Source organism: Homo sapiens, chromosome 5 (assembly GCF_000001405.40).
Source record: "Homo sapiens chromosome 5, GRCh38.p14 Primary Assembly".
Taxonomy (NCBI): Eukaryota; Metazoa; Chordata; class Mammalia; order Primates; family Hominidae; genus Homo; species Homo sapiens.
Window position 1 is genome coordinate 170,347,647 of NC_000005.10, and position 20,597 is coordinate 170,368,243.

General features: G+C 49.1%; 1 protein-coding gene across 3 annotated transcripts in view, besides 1 other annotated feature; it reads left to right on the forward strand.

Moving 5' to 3' along the window:
- The window catches only part of KCNIP1 (potassium voltage-gated channel interacting protein 1), a 383,146-nt gene continuing 368,389 nt past the window's right edge, over positions 5,841–20,597 (forward strand). For 2 of the 3 annotated variants that reach the window (NM_001034838.3, XM_017009408.2), the window contains exon 1: positions 5,841–6,318. In NM_001034838.3, the coding sequence (NP_001030010.1) occupies positions 6,231–6,318 (88 nt within the window). In that variant the 5' untranslated portion in view covers positions 5,841–6,230. The remainder of the gene's footprint in view (positions 6,319–20,597) is intronic. The other variant, XM_017009407.2, reaches the window with a different exon arrangement.
- Positions 13,457–13,957: an enhancer, noted in NCBI's record as "H3K4me1 hESC enhancer chr5:169788107-169788607 (GRCh37/hg19 assembly coordinates)". NCBI's record gives its function as "activates a minimal SCP1, AML or CMV promoter by ChIP-STARR-seq in naive H9 embryonic stem cells {active_cell/tissue: H9 hESC(naive)}" and the evidence as "EXISTENCE:reporter gene assay evidence [ECO:0000049][PMID:30033119]".

Consider the following 20,597-nt stretch of genomic DNA (forward strand, 5'->3'; position numbering starts at 1 on the left):
GCTCTCCTGAGTTCCTCATCTTCATTTCCATCTACCAGCTGGATGTTTGTCTTCCCAAGACATACAAAATCTGTAACCGTCTCCCTTCCCAGACCAGATTCTCTTTATACCTTTCCTGTTTCTGTTTCCAGAACTACTGATGGCTTTTGCCTCCCTCTGCTTCCCCCGTGCTTTCCTCCAATCAGTCATTAATCACACTGCTCAACCTTCCTCCCACCGGGGCAAATAACATAACTTGCCTAAGCCTCCATTTCCTCATCTATAAAATGGGTTTAATAAATACTAATACCTACTTCATGAGCTTGTTACAAGACTAGGATGAGCTAATCCAAATAAAACACTCAGAACAGCATCTGGCAACAGAGTAACACATCACAGTGATATTTCTATAATGATTATGACAATGATCCCGACCCCCACGGAACCTGTCCCTTTCCTCTTTGTAGTTGTTCTATGAGCTGACCAGCAAACTCTGGGAGGGCCCTATCCTGCTCATTAGAAAACACAGACCGGACACTCTTCATTTCATCACTATTTTCACTGCCTGAAATTCTCTACCTTATGAATTTGTTTGTTTGTGGTCTGAGTACCCCCTCCCCTGTTCAGCCTGTAAAATGCAACTTCCATGAGGCAAGGGATTTTGTCTTATTTACCAGCATATCCCTAACGGCTGACACACAGTAGGTGTCGGATAGATATTTGCTGAATGAACACGTGAGGAGAAAAAGGCTCTAGGATTTTTGGAAGGAAGACATCTAGACGGCGCTGGTTTTTAAGCCCTTCAACACTCAGGTTTCAGGGCTCCCTTCTCTGCTCTGCTCATTTCTGCTTTGCGGGCAGCCCTGTGACAGGCTCTGTCACTACGCGGGGAGAGAGGTGCAGGCTGGAAGAAGAGCGTTTTTTTCTAGTTCACTTCTGCCTGCATCTCCACGGCAATAGTTCTTGACCCTAGCATCAATATGTTCCAGCTGCAGCAGCTGGTTCCAGTTTGTAGTGTTTTTCTTTCTTTAACTCCCAGAATGAAGCTCATCACACAACCTCAGAGACATCAGCACCAGCCAGCAGGCACTGCCTCTGCCTCACTGGGTCCCTTTGCTGAAGTTCTAGGTCCAGGGGATTCCAGTCTTGATTTCCTTTATCCTCTACTCACCCCCACCCAACTCTAGGAGTGGTAGCTGCTTCCTGCATTTCCTATCTCTATGGTTCCTCAGTGTTCCTTTTAGCCTCCTGCAGTCCTCCAATGCTAGCTTAACAAGTCTTTATGTGAAGTCCTCTCTGTTAAACTGGCTGCTGTGGTCTTTTTCTCCCGGCTGGACAGTGACTGATCCCTTGTCTAGTCATTCCCTGCCTCCCCTCCCACGCCACAGCTCTGGCCTTAGAGGGAATTATTTCCAGGACAAACATCTTCAATCTCTCTCCACGATGCATCCAGGGATGGAGAGTGTATGATTTAATAGACAGCTGCTAATTTCTTCCAATATCGAGGCAAAATATACCTCTCTAACACTGTGAGTCACTTTCATTTTGAGCCCTGGTGAGATATCAAATAAGTTTTTGTAAATTTTAGAGTCAAATGTCAAATGATCTCGGATTCAAATTCAGCTTCAGCTGTGTGACCATCAAGAAGTTACTTTCCCTCTCCGGGCCTGTTTCCTCACCTATAGAATATATAATATCGTAATAGCTACCTCATAGGGCTATAATAAATATTTAAGGTGTGTATGCACTTAGAACAGTCACCTGCACGGGGAAGAAACTTGGTGAATGATGCTGTCATTATCATCATTGAGGAGGACAGCCTTTCAACTTTTGAAGGACAGCATGTTTGTCCTCTCTTAGCCTTGCACTCGAAGTCGGAGCACTTTCCCAGGCCCAGACACCAGCTGGAGCCCCCATCTGCTTGTCCTACTTCCGCCTGGAACTGGGGTGTGAAGATTCCCATAAACGCTTCAGGTGGAGAGAAAACTCTGACTTCCCAAGTTCCTTTGGATAACGCACATCTGTGACCCAGAGGCTGACTAACACATGCCTGCTGATGGTCTCATTTCTAGGGTCTCAGGTGCTATGTAAATCCTCTTCCCTGTTCTTTATTTGCAGGATAGCACATTCCTTGAGCAGAGCACGATTCTCTCCTGTACTCTCCTGTCATGAAGTGCATACTGGCACACCTTGCCTTCCTTTGATGGGAATGTTCTTGGCACACTGAGTCCCTTGCCCATGTATTGGGGGGATATTGCTGTGTGGTGTTTTGGATATTGCTGACCCTCTCTGGGCCTGACTTATTTGTCCAAGGCTGAGAGTTCAAACACATGATGCCTTGCAGAGATCAGAGGAGAATCCAAAATGCTTACTGCTAGGAGAGAGAAAAATCAAAGAGCTGGCTCCATAATTTCGAACAATTATAAAGTCTCACCTGCACAGCCTCTATTTATTTTCACCTTCCTTTTTCTGTGCTTGCTTGGTTTCCACCTCTGTGAGTTCTTTTCCACTTACCACAGCTTCAGTGATCTCAATCTTCTCTTCCTCTTCTGGAATTCTCTACCCCTCCCTTGATAAAAACAGTGTTTTATAATGGTTTCATGTGAGAGCAACGATCCCATCTCACACTTCCTTTGGAGCCCTCCACAGCATTTGCCTGGCACTGGGCACACAACAGCTGTTCAGGACTCCAGACCGATAGAGAATGTTTCTTGTCTAGTCACATAGATGGTAGGTGGTAGTTTTGGGGATGGGGCAGGAATGGCATCAGCATCAACAGTAGGAGAGGTAGGAGCAGCAGCAATAACCTTTGCCGTTGACGTAATAACCTCTGCCATGTACTATGCCAGCCACTATATTAAGCACATTAATTTCATTTAAACCTTCCCCAGACCCTATGAGATAAGGATTATTATTCCCATTTTACAGAAGAAAAAACTGAGGCTCAGTGAGGATAACCTGTTTGTTCAACAGCTGCTGAGTTGAACTCAACCCTAGGATTGAGCTCAAGGCTGTCTTTGGCCTTTGTGCTTGTTATCCTCTCAGCCTTAACTATTCTTCCCCCCCTCAGAGAGCTGTATGGCTGGTTTGAGTCTCTGTTCAAATGTCATCTTAATAGAAACCTTCCCCAGTGGCCCTATCTGAAATCGGAACTCCTGTTACTCTCTATCCATTTGATCAGTTTTCTTTTTCTTTAAAGCACTATCTCTTGTATAGAGGCCCATTTGTTGACTATTTCTGTCCCTGGACCACATGAATATAATGTCAATAAGCCCAGGGACTTTGTCTGTTCTATCTACCACTGTATCCTCAGCACCTGGAACAGAGTCCATGATAATCGTATACTTTCAATATGCATGTGTAGGATGAACAAGTGAGTCAGTAAATACCTAGTGCGAAGATCTGTGCTCTTATCCATTATACATCTGGCTTGGAGGAGTTATGGGATGTTCATAGGATTTGTCAGGTCAAACAACATATGCTTTTGTTTCTTTCCCAAAATATGGTCAAATGTTGGGATTCCAGATTCCTGAGCTGGGGCCCAAATGCAGATCCACCCTGGACATTTCTTATCATCCCTGAACAGAGGCTGCTAACTGTCTTGTGGGAGCCATTCCTCCAGCAGGATTCCTGGCCAGATTTCCAGGCTGAAGACTGAGCTCTGGATCACCTTATATCACTATGGTCACAGCCTTTTTTCCTTTGGCTTCTCAGTTTTTAGTCTTACCCTCTCTGGTGGGATGGAAGAGAGGAGAAACTGGGCATAGTTGAGAGTCCTATGTCCTGCAAAGTGAACTCACCTATTCAGAGGACAGTATTATTGTTGGTAAAATGATCAGATGGGTCCCACACCCTCCCTTCCAAACTTTCTGTCTCTGATCCTTCTCCATGGTGCCTAGGTTGTCTGCTCTTTGCCCACTCCTTGCCTGCCAGGTCGTGCTCCATGACCGTCTTAACACCTACCTGCCTCATGCCTCAATTCCACTAAGATTCTGCAAAGTGAAAGAAGTTAGTTAGATAAACTGATTCTCAACAAGGACTGAGTGTCTCGTGGTGAATCTCCTCCTCTGTAAGTCCATGAGGGCTCTGACTTTGTCGTCTTATTTGTCTGGCTCAGCCCTTTCTGCATCCTGGGTGCTCAGCTCTTTCCTACACACTGGGAGCTCAGTAAATATTGGATAAGTGAATGAGTGAACCAAAGACTAAGTGCCATTAACACTCTCAGACACCGTGTGCCTTTTTTTTTTTTTGAGACAGAGTCTCACTCTGTTGCCCAGGCTGGAGCGCAGTGGTGCAATCTTGGCTCACTGCAAGCTCCGCCTCCCAGGTTCACACCATTCTCCTGCCTCAGCCTCCCAAGTATCTGGGACTACAGGTGTGCACCACCACACCCGGCTAATTTTTTTGTATTTTTAGTAGAGATGGGGTTTCACCATGTTAGCCAGGATGGTCTTGATCTCCTGACCTTGTGATCCACCCACCTCAGCCTCCCAAAGTGCTGGGATTACAGGTGTGAGCCACCGTGCCCGGCCACCATGTGCCTTTTAACTGGGACCTTCAACTCTTAAGACAGAGAGTGCATAACACGGCAATTTTAAGCCCTAAGACATCTAGCACAATGGGGTATTTCCTGCTAGAGCTACTTCTGTTATATATGCTCTGACTCCTACCATGCTGGCAAGGCTTGAGGGCTTCGGGGTTTTGAGGAGGCTCTGAGTTTGCAGACTGTCTCCCAGGCCTCTTTTCAGAGCTGAAATTTGTTGATGAGCACTCTGAAGGCTGAAGTTTCTTTCTTCAAGATTCACTTCCACATTGACTCCCAGAACACGGGGTAAAAATCAGACCTGATACATGAGTTCTGGCTTATCTGGCATTTGTCAACTCAGTCTCCATTCTCTGTCTCTTAAGCAACGGATTCCTCTTGAACATCCCAGAGAAGCAGATCAAAGGGAGACAGTCGAGGCAGAAGAAGAGACTTTCCAAGGCATAGCCTTATTCAGATGAAGGTGTTTCATATCTGCTATTCACAAGTAGCCACACTGCATTCACAGATGTACCCATGGCCAGGGCCCACAAGGACTTTCTGAGGAAAGCAAAGCAGGGTTGTTTTGGGGGAGGTTCACACCTGGTGAAGAGGGTGGAATGAGATGTCCCTGCCACCAGGGTCCCTTCCAACTCACGGAGCCTATGGTACTGAATGGCAGCCAGGTTTTTTATGGAGCAATAGCTGGACTTCACATTTGCATAATGCCTTGCAGTTTCACTGTTAAGAGTACTGCATTGTATTCTAATTATATGAATCTCGGTCATTCCTTTATGACATTTCTGAGGAATACTATCTCAATCAAGAAAAGCCCTAATTGCACTCCTCTCCTATCCCGGTGAGAGAGCACAGACTCGTGCCTGCTCCGCAGGGGTGGAGGCTGGAATTCAGTAGTCTGAGTCGGGGATGCCTGGAGCAGGAGGTGGTCAGGGGCATTGTCCTTTCCAAGTCAGGAAGGCAGACAGCACCTGCTGTTGGTGCCAAGGTTACTGGACAGGCTGCGAGGGCTCTGTCTGTCTGTCCGATGTTCACAGGCCAGCTCCCCGGAGGCTCAGCACTCAGCCCAGCTTCTCCGAGATGCAAACCAGGCCACTCTGAGGCTGCCTACAAACTTTCTGCTGAGTGCCGACAGCTGCTTCCTGCTCTGCGGGGAGTTCTTCCAGATCCTGATCAAGGCACAGAGAATTGATCTATCAGATTAACCAGGAAGGAAAGAGTGGGAGAGCGAGTGTGGGAGGCTGTGGGGCTGAGTGTTTTCTGCGTAGCAGTCCCCTCCCTTCTGACTTGAGTATTAATTGCTACATTACCGCTGCCATGTAAGAAAGACAGTCAGCAAAGCCTGGGAGAGCTCCAGCTCCTCCCTCCCTGCTCTGCTCAACTTCACTCTCCTCCTCGGTTCCCTTGGAGTACCTTGTGCCCCGGCAGTGCTGTCCCGGCCCTGGCATCCTGAGGTCCTCCCGTGGTGAGGACTTAAGTGGACAGCAGGAGTGGGTGGAGAGAGGGAGGGAGAGTTTGCCCTGCAGGCTCTCTGGATGCAGAAGCCAGACTCGCTGCAGAGGCAGCTGTGCTGTTCCCGGAGCCTGGCTTCAGGGGTGCATCCGTCACTCAGGGTTCATTCACCCAGGCAGGCTCCAAGTTCCTGGGGTGCACAAGGTGGGCACTGTCCCTTCTGGGTGCTGACAGCAGAGCCTGGCTCCCCTCCGCCACCATGAGCGGCTGCTCCAAAAGATGCAAGCTTGGGTTCGTGAAATTTGCCCAGACCATCTTTAAGCTCATCACTGGGACCCTCAGCAAAGGTATGGAAACTGGCCTTGACCCTTGCTTTCTGTCTTGATATGGCCTGGCTGGTCGCATTGCCTCGGTGTGGTGAGCGTGACCATTCTGGTGCACCCAGGTCTTGGAAAAAGCTGGGGAAATTGGTGGCTGGGATTCGAGGTTGCTGACAACCTGCGTCCTGGCTTTGAGTAGGCGGGCACCCAGCCAGGGAACTCAGCTGGCTGTAATTGCCTGGAACTTTGGAAATGGAGTTGGTGGTGTGTGGCTGATACGTTATGGGCGGGCAGAGGGATAGAACCCTTTCCAGAGCATTGGAAGTGGCTTAGCGTGACTGGAGTTTCAAGAAGTTATCCATGGAAGGTTGTATTTTGTTGATAAAAGAGAGATTTGATGCAGTGGGTTGTGAGTAATTCTGCAGAACAGAGACGCTTGAGGGGGCCAGTGGGAGGTGGTGATGGGCCGGCATCTGCTTTGCCCTGGTGGCTTCAGAAACCGGATCAGCTCTGCACCTCAAGTGCCAAGAGCCTCCTCTCATAGGGTTCCAGCGTCTCGTGCTTCTGGGGCTTCATTCATCGTTCTGCTTTCTTGGATCCCTGTCCCTCCACATTTCATGCCTATGTCCATGCCTGTCTTTTCTGCTTCTCCAGGAACTGGGGTGGCAGGTGGTTTGCAGGAGTAACTGTCTGGGCAGATCAGAAAGTGTGGCTATGGACCAGAATTAGGGCTGCAGCCCCAGATGGGCCCACAGCCGGGAGGCAGAAAGAAGGCTAACTCCTCAGGGCCCAGTCCTGTGTCTTAAACCCCATTTTACACTTGGCACCAGGGAAGGTGAGGCCCTCAGAGGGGTCTGGCCAACTTTGTGGAGATGATGTCAAGGGAGAGCAGCAGCATGATGTGGTTCCACTGGCTGAAAAAACGTCTTTAAATATTCATGCTGTCTTTCAGGAAGAGTCTTTGGGGGCTGGGGAGAGAGGCACTGGAAGCAGCAGGCAGAATATTCAGGGAAGGAGCCCACAAAACTTTGATGGGATTTTACAAAATGACAATGAGAGCAGAGAAAGGCTATATGCAGCCAGATCTCATGACATGGCTCAGGTGCCCGCCACCCAGCGGGTCTGGCCCAGTGTACGTTGTGTGGCATGTGTGGGTGGTGGGAATGATGGGATTCTGTTTATCTCCTTCCTTGGGATGTTCTGACCTTCCTGTTATTTCCCTACCATCCTTCTGAAGTGGGGCACTGCTCTTCCAAGATACCCAGGTGGGCTGAGCCCCCAATGTGGAGGGCCAGGCTGCCTGGCAGAATTCCTGGAGGCCAGAAGTGGGGTAAACAGGAGGTTAATGGGTATAGCTGTGATTGCTCTCAGTGGCTTTACCTCCTGGAGAAGGAGAAAGCAAAGGGGTTAGGAAATTTCACAAAGTCTCCCCATTCAATCCTCAGAGACAGCTGGAAGGTTTTCTTTCCTCATTACAGATAGCAGGACCTAAGAGGGTAATGGGTGTGGGGCAGCAACCCATTGCAGCCTCTCATGGAGGGCTTGTCCCCACCTGCAGTCTAGTGGCGACCCAGACCCCACACACAGATGCTCCCTGGATGCCACACTGAGTGCTGAGATGGGGGAATCATGGGGGTCAACAGGCATAGAGAAGAGATGTCTGGGGCAGACTAAGGAGTGCCTCCAAACAGTGACATCTAAGCTGAGATGAGGAGAGGCAGGGCTGAGAAGGTGGGAGGAAGCCGAAGCTGCCAGAGGGAGCAACATCAGAGTGTTGGCCTCTGCAAGGAACCAGCTGGAGAGTCAGAATGCCTCCCTCTCTCTGCTCAGAATCCCAGAAACTAAGATCCATGTGACACAGAAGGGACTCCGTGGGGACCTGGCCTTCCTGTGAACTGCTTCAGTACAGCCTTTCCTGTGGCCAGGGCTCAGAGAGGCAGCCCATGGCAGGCACCAGGGCAGGATTGTGTCTTAACCGCATCTGTCTTCTTTGCTTCAGCTCCGCAGAGAGGACCAAGTGTTTACACAGCCCCGGCTCTGCGCCAGGCACGTGCTAGGTGACTGGTGTTCTACCCGATCCAGGTGTTTGCTAAATATTTGTTAAATAGTGAGGAACATGGGAGCAGGGCCAGGCTGGGAGCAGGGTAGCTGAGAAAGGCCTGCAGAGAGTCCAGAAAACGGCTTTCTAATGTTTACACCTCCCCTAGGTGGATTTAGATTCAACCCTACATGGATACATTATGATTGCTTAATGATTTCTGATTTTAATTTGATTTCACTTATTCATTATTCATTGCACTGAGTTCTAGATTTGCAGTAATCCAACCCTCAGGAGAGGGATTTTTCTTTGTCCCTTGCAGAACTGAGGAATGTAAAGAATGTGTTGGACCAGGTACCTGCTTGTTCTATGGCAATTTACTGTTTCTTACCAGCCTTGCAAATACCTGGGGGACAAGGAGGGTCCAGGATCACCCTCCCTGTCCTGCCTGTTCCTAACCCTTGGCCACCTCCTGCCATGCCAGAAATCCTTCTTGCCATTTGTCTAAGATGCCAGCTAGCCCAGATTTCTCATCAGCGCTTATTGCAGAGATAAACTGCTCATGTCCACCTGCTCACATATCTCATCAACCTTGAACTTTCCTTCCTATCCCTGATCATAATTTGTGGTCTGCATTCCCTTTAGGAACATGTTTGCTAAAGGCTCTCTTCCCCACTAGACTTCAGCTCCATCATGGCAAGACCATGTGCATTTTTTTGCTCACCACTGTGGCCAGAGCTACTAGCATGGGGCCCAGAATGGAGTATGTGTGTTACCGTGTTAAACGAATGCAACGGCACCGCACGGCACAGACACCAGCCGTCAGCCTGAGATGACCCCTGGTACAGGAGCTTTCTAGGAAGCACTATGCAACACCTGTCCCACAGGTGCTCAGCAAATGCTCTCTGAAGTCTGTTTAGCTGCAGCAAGCTGAGTCTGCAGCCTCCAGCCTCCAGCCTGCGTGAGCCTCCAGCCACGTAAAACATTCAGGCTGGGTCTGAGCTTGCATAGTGTCTAGGGAAGGGCATTAAGATTGTTCCCAGAAGGAAAGGCTGGGTGGGCAGGCTTCTGGCATCCCCACTCCCACCCCTCTGGCTCTATTTTTATTTGTTTTATTTACTGGATTTCTCCCACATTTAAAGAATCTCTTTGGCATTAAAAAAAAAAAAAATTTCAAACCACGAATGCAGTGAGGAGCACAGTTGGTTTCTAGACTGAGACATCCCCGGACCCTGCACTGTGGCTCGGAAGCCTCGGACTGGGTCCCTCACCTCCCTGGCATTTAGTTTCCTCATCTATAAAATGGAATTACAATACCCTTCTTATGGGGTTGAATGAGATTGTGCAGATAAAGCTCCCTGCCTATTAGGTGCTCAGTAGTGTTGATGGATATGACTTCTGTTATTAGCGGATACTCTCATGGTTGAGAGCCCCTCCGGGCTGGGACTCCCTCTCACTCATTACTTGTTTTCTCAGCACCAGGCACAGATTCTAAGAGCAACATCTCATGATCACTTTATGAAAGCCTATGGCCTTGTCAGTTACTGCATGACTTTATTTATTTATTTATTTTGAGGCAGGGTCTCATTCTGTTCCCCAGGCTGAGTGCAGTGATGCAATCACGGCTCACTGCAGCCTCGACTTTCTGGGCTCAAGCAATCCTCCCACCTCAGCCTCCTAAATAGCTGAGACCACACATGTGCACCACCACAACCAGCTAATTTTGACTGTTTATAGAGACAGGGTCTCACTATGTTGCCCAGGTTGATGTCAAACTCCTGGCTCAAGAGACCCTCCTGCCTTGGGCTCCCAAAGTGCTGGGATTACAGGCATGAGCCACCACGTCCAGCCACTGGATGACTTTAGACCACTGCTTCCCCTCTGCTCAACTTGTTTTCTTAAGGGCCTACCCAGAGCCATCTCCCTCACCTGATTCCTTATTAGGAGTTAAAAGCCTGACTCCCAGAGCCAGGTCCTCGCCTGCTGTTTAACCTAGGAGAAGCCCAGCTCCTGGCTCGGATGCTTGGTGAAATCAGGGGTCTGGGGAACCTGCGTCTTCCTCTTTCTGCACAGTCAGCTCCCCTCCACCCGCCTCACAGACTTCCTGGGGGCCGCTGGCAGGAACCAGAAGTTGTGCAGGCTCCATTCTGGCTGGGGAGGTTTAAACTCATCTCCTTCTGCACTGGGAACAAATGTTACCCCAGGCACAGATGACAGAGCCAAAGTGAGCAGAAGGGAGGAATCCAATCCAGGAGAGCTTCTAGTGTCCTCCAGGCCACCCATGAGGCTGCGGGGGTGGGGAAAAGGGGTGTGGGAAGATGAGATCTATCTCAAGGACAAGGCCCTGGAGCCGTAACTCTCCCCTCCCGCCCAGGCCCAGGCTGTTCCTCTTTTTTCGAGGCAAAACCTCAGCTGCCCCATCAGTGACACACTGTTCCTCTTGCCTCCTCCCACTGCTGTTCAAGATCCTCAAGAGACTGACCTTGGACCCGGGCATGGACTCTGCCTTCAAGCAGGCCAGGCTGGAGTACCAACTCTGCCTCTTACCAGCTGTGTGAAGTTGTGTCATTTGAACACCACCCCAAGCCAAGGCTCCCCACTTTTAATTGGAGATAATAATAATATCAATGGCACAAGGCTGTTTTTTAATGTAATGATGATATGAGTAAGAGATATCAGCTCACAGGCAAATCCCAACTCTGCTCTTGCAGGGCACCCGCCCCCGCTTACATTTTGTGCCCTAGGCACCTTCCTTGCCTCTTTCTAGTCTTGATCCTGGAGGTAGGGATTGCAATCACCATTTCAGCAGGTAAGGAAACTGGGGTTTAGCTAAGTGTCGTGGCTCCCCTGGTGAGTGGCAGAGCTGGGATTAGAACCCAGGTCTTGCTGCAGCCAAGACAAGGTACATTCCTCTGCACTCCTAGGGCTGGAGAAGTCACGCCTGCCTGCACTACTCCCCACCTTGCCACCAGCAGAGAGTCCCCCAGCGTCCCACTAATTCTGTTGGTGGGTTTTTCCCTGCTGGGTCTGATCAGAGCAGCCACCTGTCATGCAAAGGGTTGTGACAAATTCCATAAAGTGTCATCACCTGGGTTATGGGGAAAGGGAACACTCCAGAGGCCAAGATCAGCAGGACAGCCATACCCATGCTCTCTCAGTATCCCTATCACCTCTCAGGCAGGTGTGCAGGCCCAAAGCACCTGCCAGACACTGAGTAGGCTCTGTCCCATGAGGGCCACTCCCCCATGGCTCTCCCTTCTTACAGGCCAAGTGTGAGAAGTGTTCTTGGGTGTGGGAAAATACACACAAAGTTTTGGACACTAGGCAGGCTGGAATTGAGGTGTTGCAGCTGTTTACTGGAATTGTCTGGGAAAGCAGAAGCCTTCACACTGGGGACTTTGAGACCTGTGAGATATCATCATCCCTCTACCAAGAGGAGAATGCCACCTGTCCCATGAAAAGCTAAGCTTCAATGCTGCCCCTTGCTGGGGAAAGAGAGTCCCCACCATCCGAGTCCTGGCTCGCTCACTGTCCTGGCAGTGAGGGGCTGAGCAAGCACTCTGGTCATGTTACAACAGCCCCACTCACTCTCTGCAACCCTGGAACCTCTGAGTGCCAGTGCTTTGTCACAGGAAGAAAGTTTGATTATCCAGGGCTTCTGGGTCCCTGCCTACCTCTCCAGCCCCAAGCTAGAGCCTGCCAGGAGGGGCATGTGTTCACCTTGGCCCTCCTGATGTCCAGTAGCCTTCATCCCAGCCTACTGGCCTCACCACCCTTGCCCCTCTGCAGCAGGCCCAGCATTCCCTGACCCATTTGGGTTGTTCAGGTGCTCAGCTCACTAGGGTCTCCATAGTCCCACAGTAGAAGGCAGAGAAGAAGGAGGGATCACCTGCCCCTCTGGAGCCTCCGGGTCTTTCTCCTAGATAACCCTGTTACCATGCAGGAGTAATTTGTTCAGGGCCATTTATCCTGGCACTGCTGCACAGACATCCTATTAACTTCAGGACCACAGGGGAGCGGCTAGTTTGCTCCAAATTAAAAGTAGCTGGAAACGGGGCCCTCTGGCAGGCAGGAGAGTTCAGGCTGCCACACCACAGCCCTGGGAGAAGTGGATCTAGTCAGGTCTTCATCAGCCTTCTAAGTCCAGGGCCTCCTTTGCCATGCCACAGGGACCCTCATCTTCCCCAGTCTTCTTAGGGTTACAGAATCTCCCCTGGGCCATCTCTCTCAGCAGACCCAGGTCCCAAATCCCTGAAAGCCTTTGCTTCCCAAGGGTGGAAGTGGCGATGTGAAGTCACTGTGGAAGGAAGCAGGATGCAGGGCGGGAAAACTCTGGACCCAGAGGGACCTGGGCTCCAACCCTGCCATGCACCAACAGGACAGCCTTGGGCAAGCCATTCCCCATCTTGAGTCTGTGTCCTTCCGTAAATGGGCCAGTAATTTCCATCTCATGTGGCTACTGGAGATGGAATGAGATGGGACATGTGACAGGCACAGGACCTGGCTCATACAAGCTGCTCAGTAAAAGTCAAGTTCCCCACCCTTCTTTTCTATGATACGACCTTGGATTTGTAGCCAAGAGAAACAAGGCTGAGCCTCTGTGGGTCAAGTCCTCTTCCCAGCTCCTATCCAGATGTGCTGCTATTTCAAAATTATCCCCCCTGCCCCCAGTCACTCTTGATGACAAGTTCTATAATTAAAAATGTGCCAACAATGGAAATGATCCTTTTTATTTAGTTGTTCATGGGAGAATTGGTCATCCATTCTCATGAGAATGGGAGCCCTGTGAAAGCGTTCACCACGTTCACCACGTGGGAATCACCTAGAGTGAGTGCCTCAAGCACCTGCAGCCGAGGAAGGAAGGTTGAATAAATAACGACTAAATGCTTTCCCTGCCGAGCAACATCAGGCCATGTGGCTGGAGTTCCCTTTTTGAGGTCTGGTCTTAGTCAGGCTTGCTCTGGAGCCTACCACTCCCTATCTCCCTTGTCTGAATTCCTGTGCTGGAGTTTGACAGCAGTGACCAGCCAGAACGACCTGGATGAGACAAGGGTCAGTGCAAACAAGACCAAAGGCCTGTTCCTGCCCCCATTCCGCTCTCATGCTCTGCTGGGGGACTGCCCCTGGGTGCAGGCCCACACTGCCTATGCATCACAGCTGGCCAGGTGCTCAGGTGAGGCGGCGGTTCTTCCCCGTTGTCCACCTGCACCCCACCCAGAAGTGCAGGAGGAGGGACCCCACTGAAAGGCAGGCAGCAGGGGAGAGGAGCTTTGGGGGAGAGGATGTGGAAATGAGGAAATTGCATAGGCCTCCCGGGCCAGCTGGAGGAAAGAAAGGCCAGGACTCCTGAAAAAGACTCATGGGAAGTCATTTACTATCACCACTGACCACGCTCTCTGTCACAGGTCTTCAGTCTAGGGGCAGAAGAAAGCCTTCCTTCTCTGTTAGGATGAGGGGAGGAGGACCATGAACACAAAGCTAACCTTGGTCCCCTCTGGCTGAAGCCACTGAGATTCCATTTTGTGTTCTTAGAAGAACACCCGCTTTGGAGCCAGACCTGGGTTTGAGTCCAAATCCTCACAACTGCTTGCTGTCTTAGGCCATCAGGCTGCTTATCAACCTGATGGCCTAAGCTACCATACAAAGACACGGTGGCTTATCAACAACAGAAATGTATTTCTCACAGTTCTGGAAGCTGGAAGTCTGAGATCAGGATGCTAGCACTGTGGACTTCTCGTGGGGACTCTTCCTGGCTTACAGACAGCATCTCCTGCTGTATTCTGACGTGGAGGAAAGAGAGTAAGCTAGCTCTCTGGCCTCTTCTTATAGACACACCCCATTCAAGAGGCTCCGCCTTCATGACCTCATCACCTCCCAAAGGCCCCACCTTCAAATACCATCACCTCAGGAGTGGGATTTCAACATGTGAATTTGGGGGACGGGAGGCACAAATATTCAGCCCATTGCACTAAGTAAATGGCTTTTTTTTCTGGGCTTCAGTCTCTTCATCTCTAAAATGAAGGAGCTGCTGATTTCAAAGGCCTCTTTCAGCTTTGGAATTTAAAGATTAAACAAAATTGCAGCACTGCTGGTGGCACCTGCCATGTGCCCAGCATTGCCTGAGCACTCCATGCCCAATATTTTATTTAGTGCACATGAGAAACCTAGGAGGTGGAGTGCTCTAATTAACCCCACTTACAGATATAAAGAGCGAGCTTCAGACGGGGGACCGGCCTGCTTGGAGTCACACAGCCAGCATGAAGCATAGCCACAACTGGAAGCCTAGGCGGTCTGGCCCCAAGCCCTGGGTTTTACTTCCCTCCCCAGCCCATCCCCAGTACACTCTTTCCATTTCTGAAAATCAGATCCAGGGTAAGAAGCAACGAAGACAAAACAGATTCCTTCCCAGTTTGGCCAAGAGGCAACACACACTCTTGTTTTCGAAATCAAGACTTCAGGACCTCCATTCTGACTGAGGAAGTGCAATTGAGGAGAATGCCCTCTGAGACTCAAGCTCCCCGATCCATCCCCTAAACCGTTACCCATAGGTCACCTTTCACAGTCAAACAACAAAACATATGGGGAGCAGGCCCGACAGCCAAGACTACAGGGAGGGGAGAAAAAAGGAAACACCACCCAGCAAGATTTCCTGTTGTATTTCTAGTCTGGCCAATTTTCATTTATTGCTGGAATGAGGTCAGTTGGAAGCTGAGGCAGAGAATTGGGCAGGAATCAGGTAGGGAGGTGTGATTCTGGGGCTTGTATCTGAGAAGCTGGGGTTAGCCTAATTTTCTTTCTGTAATCTTTTGATTAACTGTGGGCCAGTTTGGATGACATTTTTCAAACCATCTGTGCTTGGCAGGCTGGGCCGAGCCCAGGCTTACTGCTCGGTGTCTGCAAAACTCAGCTTGGAGCCGGCTATCACCCGGAGCCTGGGATGTCTCTAAGCCATGAAGCATATTGGATTGCAGAATGATCCACAACATCCCTGTGCTGATTAACTCTGCCCAGGCCTCACAAGTTCAGAAACAGTGGCTGTCATTTCAAACGCAACAGGAAACATGAGGGGAAGGGCCATCGCCATCCTCTGTTGAGTGCTACCTATTTTCTGGGGGCTTTACAAGGATTCCTATATTCAGTCCAGCCCTGTCTCTGTGAGTTGTTTTTATTCCAAACCAGGGGCTTTGAGAGGCTGAATAACTTGCCAACATCACAGATACAGCACTGTGGTTGAAAAGGTCATGTGCAAACACTAATGTTCCTTTGAACACGCCTGGTCAAACCTGTCAGCACCGTCACTTCTGTCACAGACTGAATTGTGTCCCCTTAAATGTGTATGTCAAAGCCCTAACCCCCAAGGTGGCTGTATTTGATGATAGGGCCTTGATGCAGGAGATTAAGGTTAAATGAGGTCATAAGGTTGGGATCCTAATCCAACATGACTGGTGTCCTTGTAAGAAGGGGAAGAGACCAGGAGTACACACACACAGAGGAAAAGCCATGTGAGGGCAAGATGGCCAACTACAAGCCAGGAAAAGAAACTTCATCAGACACCAACCCTGCCCGAACCTTAATCTTGGACTTTCAGTGTCCAGAACTGTGGGACAATAGATTTTCGTTATTTAACTACCCAGTCTGCGACATTCGATTATGGCAGCCCAAGCAGACTAATACAGCCCCATAGACCATTCTTTGCATAGCATCCTTTCCTATATTTTTAACTGTGACAAACATATATAACATTAAATTTACTATTTTAACCATTTTTAAGTGCACAGTTGTGGCTTTAAGTACATTCACATGTTGTGCAACCATCACCACCAACCATCTCCAGAACATTTTTCTTCTCGCAAAACTGAAACTCTGCACTGCACCCACTAAACCCTTCCCCATTTCTGTCTACCCTCAGGCTCTGGCAGCCACCACTGTACTTTCTGTCTCTATTAACTTGACTGTTCTAGGTTCCTCATATAAGTGAGTCATGAACAGTATTTGTGTCTGGCTTATTTCACTTAGTGTAATATCTTTTTTTTTTTTTTTTTTGAGATAGGGTCTCACTCTGTCATCCAAGCTGGAGTGCAGTGCTGTCATCACAGCGCACTGCAGCTTCTACCTCCTGGGCTCAAGCAATCCTCCCACCTCAGCCTCCAGAGTAGCTGAGACTACAGGCGTGCGCCACCACCACACCCAACTAATTTTTTAAAATTTTTTATAGAGATGAGGTTTCTCCATGTTGCCCAACCTGGTCTCAAACTCCTAGGCTCAAGTGATTGGCCCACCTTGGCCTCCCAAAGTGCTGGGATTCCAGGCTGCCATACCTGGCCCTCACTTAGTGTTATGTCTTTAAGGTTCATTCCTGTAACAGCCTGTGTCAGAATTCCCTTCCTTTTTAAGTTTGAACAATATTCCATTGTCTGGATACTACATTTTGCTTTTTATCCATTGATGGACCATTCCCATATTTTTAAAATAAAAAATGAATCATATACGATTATAATCCCCTTACTGGAAACTGTCTCCAGTGGTTTCTTGACACATTTAGAATTAAATGCAGACTCCTCTCAGTGGCCTGTGACTTTGCATGATCCGTCCTCTGCATTTCTGTCCTTCTCCTTGGACTCTTTCCACCAAATACCCCCAGGCTCTCTCCCTCAATTCATTCAAATCCCCTCCTGCGGTTGCCGTCCCTCCTCATCTCCCCCAACACATTGCCTAATGCTGCCTTGCTTTTCTGCACAGCCCTTACTGCTCCTGCAATAATATTACACATGTGTTTGCTTGGTGATTTTAAATGTTTTAATGGAAAATGTCTATGTTTAAGGTATACAGTGTGATGTCTTGATACACACATAGATAATGGCCTGATTATCACAGTCAAGCTAATGAACATATCCGTCTCTTTTCATAGTTACCTTTCTGTGTATGGTGAGAACTACTCTCTTAGCAAATTTCAAGTATACAGTGCAGTCTTATGAACTACAGTCTCCTTGCTGTGCATTACTCTAGAGCTTGTTCATTCTCCATAGCTGAAACTCTATACGCTTTGGCCAACATCTCCGTTATTCATTTGTTTATGATCCAGCTCATCCACTAAGAGTCGAGCTCTGTGAGGGCAGGGAATTTTGCCTGGCCTTGACTACTTCCCCAGCACCTGGTGCAGGGCCTACCACATGGTAGGCCCTCATTGGGAGTTGAGAGGTTGAGCTGGCAGATGAGGAACCTGAGGCCTGGGGAAGGCCACCCAGCAAGCCAGACGCAGAGCTGGCCTTGAATCTGGGCTTCCTCCTCTTTCCATTCCCTACAGGCTCGGCACTGCATGCCCTTTAAAGGTTCCAGTTCTGTATCCACCATTTCCACGTCCGTCTGTCCATCCACACTTCCTCCTTAGCAAGGCCGCCCATGTTCCTGCATCCAGGACATGAGGGGTTAATTAAGATAGTCATCTGGCTTCTCAGGCTACCATCCTAAGAACAGCCCTCCTCAGTTCTGGAGCTGGCGGGCCATTTGGTTCATCTTTGATTTGTTCTTGCCATGGAGAGAGGGGAACCTGCCGCTGGGAAAGGATGGCGATGGTTTCCAGTGTGCTCTGCTCCATTCAGCCAAGGGGCTCCTCTGGGAGGGCATGAAGTGAGCAGTCACCAGCGAAGGCATCTGGGGGCTGCAGACGCAGCTGGCTTCCATGGCTGTGTTCCCCTCCAGCCCTTGAGGATCCAGGACTTTCTGGAAACATGATTTTGGAGTTCACTGGATGCTGAATCCATTACCACCAAATTGTGTGACCTTGGGAAGTCCAAGGGAGTCACTCCTTCGAGCCTAGCCTCCTTTTCTGTAAAATGTGTGCAATAATGCCAATACCACAGGTTTATTAAAGTAACGCACTTAAAAGTGTTTAGTGTAGGGCTTGTGTCAAATTAAGGATTCAACAAATGATGGGTGGTTTTGCTTTTATTTGGCTTTGCTGTTTATCAGGGCTGAGCTTAAATCTCCCTCATTGCATCCTAGGCAAACCAGGGACCTCCCATGTCTTGGGAAACGGCTGAGTGACTGAAATCACCCACGTGGGCCAGAAAAGAGTGAGAGATGTTTTCAACATACTCTTTGCCTTTCCTTTCCCTACCCGGGATGCGAGTATCAGTGACAAAGAGTTTTATTCTAGGGAGATGAGACAGGAGAGCTCACACTGTATTCATTGAGCAAGCTCTTCATGTCCAGAACCTTTAAAATCTCCTGTACACTCCTGCCCCACTCCCAGCCCACACTCTCCTACGGATGAAAAAATAAGAAGGGGCAGTAAAACCTTGTCTTTGTATAGAGTCCACCGGGGGCTCAACAGAGGAGGTGGAGGAGGCCTCAGACCTGGATGTCGTGGCAGTCACTGCACCCTGGGTCAGAGCCCCCTGAGGACACCACCCTGGAAGGGAGAAGCTGGCTGGAACCACAAAGCCCCATGGACAAGCAAGCTCTGGCACTACCTTTGAGCATCTGCTGTGCCTGCTGGCCTGTCTCACAGGGCACATGAGGTAAAAAGACATCAGGCACAGGCTCCCCCATGTTCATTATATCTGGAAATTTCAGTCTGGCCAAGGGAGCTTCTGAGAGCCTGAAGGTGGCCAGTATGTGACTGGAAGTCAAGGCCACATGGCACAGTGACCAGCGTGAGACTCCTCCAAATGTCCTCAGTGTAAGGGTGGGGAAACTGAGGCCAGAGCAAGGAACACCCTTGAGTAAGCTACCCTCAAAACGGAGCCTCCTCTGGCTGGTAGCTGGGGGCACAGGGATGGAGGGTAGCCTGGCCCCTCCTGGAAGTGGTGGCCACCCAGCAGATGGCTCTTCATTGCCACACAGCCGATGACTCATAGACTAAGCCCAAGCAAGACCCCTCGCCTCCTCCCTTCATCTCTGCACTCTCCCCTTCATGGCCTCACCTCTGGGGGAGACTCCCAAGTCTCTCTCTCTTGCCTTGGCTCTTTTCTTAAGCTCCAGGCCTGCAGGTGACTCCTTGGCTGGACTGTGAACTTGTTGGAAGGGCAGGGGCTACATTTTAGTTATTTAAGAACGTGCAGTCTGGCACGGTGGCTCACGCCTGTAATCCCAACACTTTGGGAGGCTGAGGCAGGTGGATCCCTTGAGGTCAGGAGCTCGAGACCATTCTGACCACAGCGAAACCCTGTCTCTACTAAAAATACAAAATTAGCTGGGCATGGTGGCACATGCCTGTAATCCCAGCTACTTGGGAGGCTGAGGCAGGAGAATCGCTTGAACCAGAATGTGGAGGTTGCAGTGAGCCACAATCACACCACTGCACTCCGGCCTGGGCAACAAGAGCAAAACTCCGTCTCAAAAAAAAAGAAGAAAGAAGGAAAGAAGGAAAGAAAAAGAAAGAAAGAAAGAAAGAAAGAAAGAAAGAAAGAAAGAAAGAAAGAAAGAAAGAAAGAAAGAAAGAAAGGAAAGAAAGAAAGAAAGGAAAGAAAGGAAAGAAAGAAAGAAAGAAAGAATGTGCAGCACCCAGCACAAGACCTGGCATAGAGTAGGGGCCTAACAAATGGATGGATTGATGGAGGATGGGAGGAAGGACCACTAGACCCTTCCAGTTGAATGTCTTTCTATAGCCCCTACTCAATCCTTGTAAAACCAAAGGAGACCTCTCTCTCCTGATTTTACTCTTTCTCTTTACATGTCCCAGTCTCGAGCCTTGTTCTTTCCATCTGTCACTCCCTTTCCACTCTCAGAACCGTTCCTGAAATCTGAACCTTTCTAACCTCTCACCCGCTTTGCTGCAGCAGCCTGCAGACTGCGTTTCTTCCCATTTCTTCCCTTTCTGACTCCTCCACACCATTCCAAAGAGATGGCCCATCTAACCCATTGACCCAGAAGCCCTACTTCTAGAAATCTATTCTAAGCAAATCATCACAGCTGTGCATACGGACTTTTATTTAGAGGTATTCATTATGGTATTATTGCATTATTTATAACAGTGAAAAACTGGAGGCAATCTAAGTGTCAATGGAAAAAATTGTGTATTAAATAAATTTTGGTTCATCTGTCTGATGGAACAATATTAAACTGTTGAAAAATTATTTTAGGAACTAATTAATAACCTAGAGAAATGCTATTGATATCGTATCAAGTAGGAAGCCAGGAGAAAAAAAACTGTATGATGAATGCAGTTCCAGTCTGTGGGAATAGATGTGTATGGAAAAGTAAAATAGAGAAGAAATACACTGAAACATTAGTTTAGGTTTTAGCTTGGATTAAAGGTGAGTTTTTA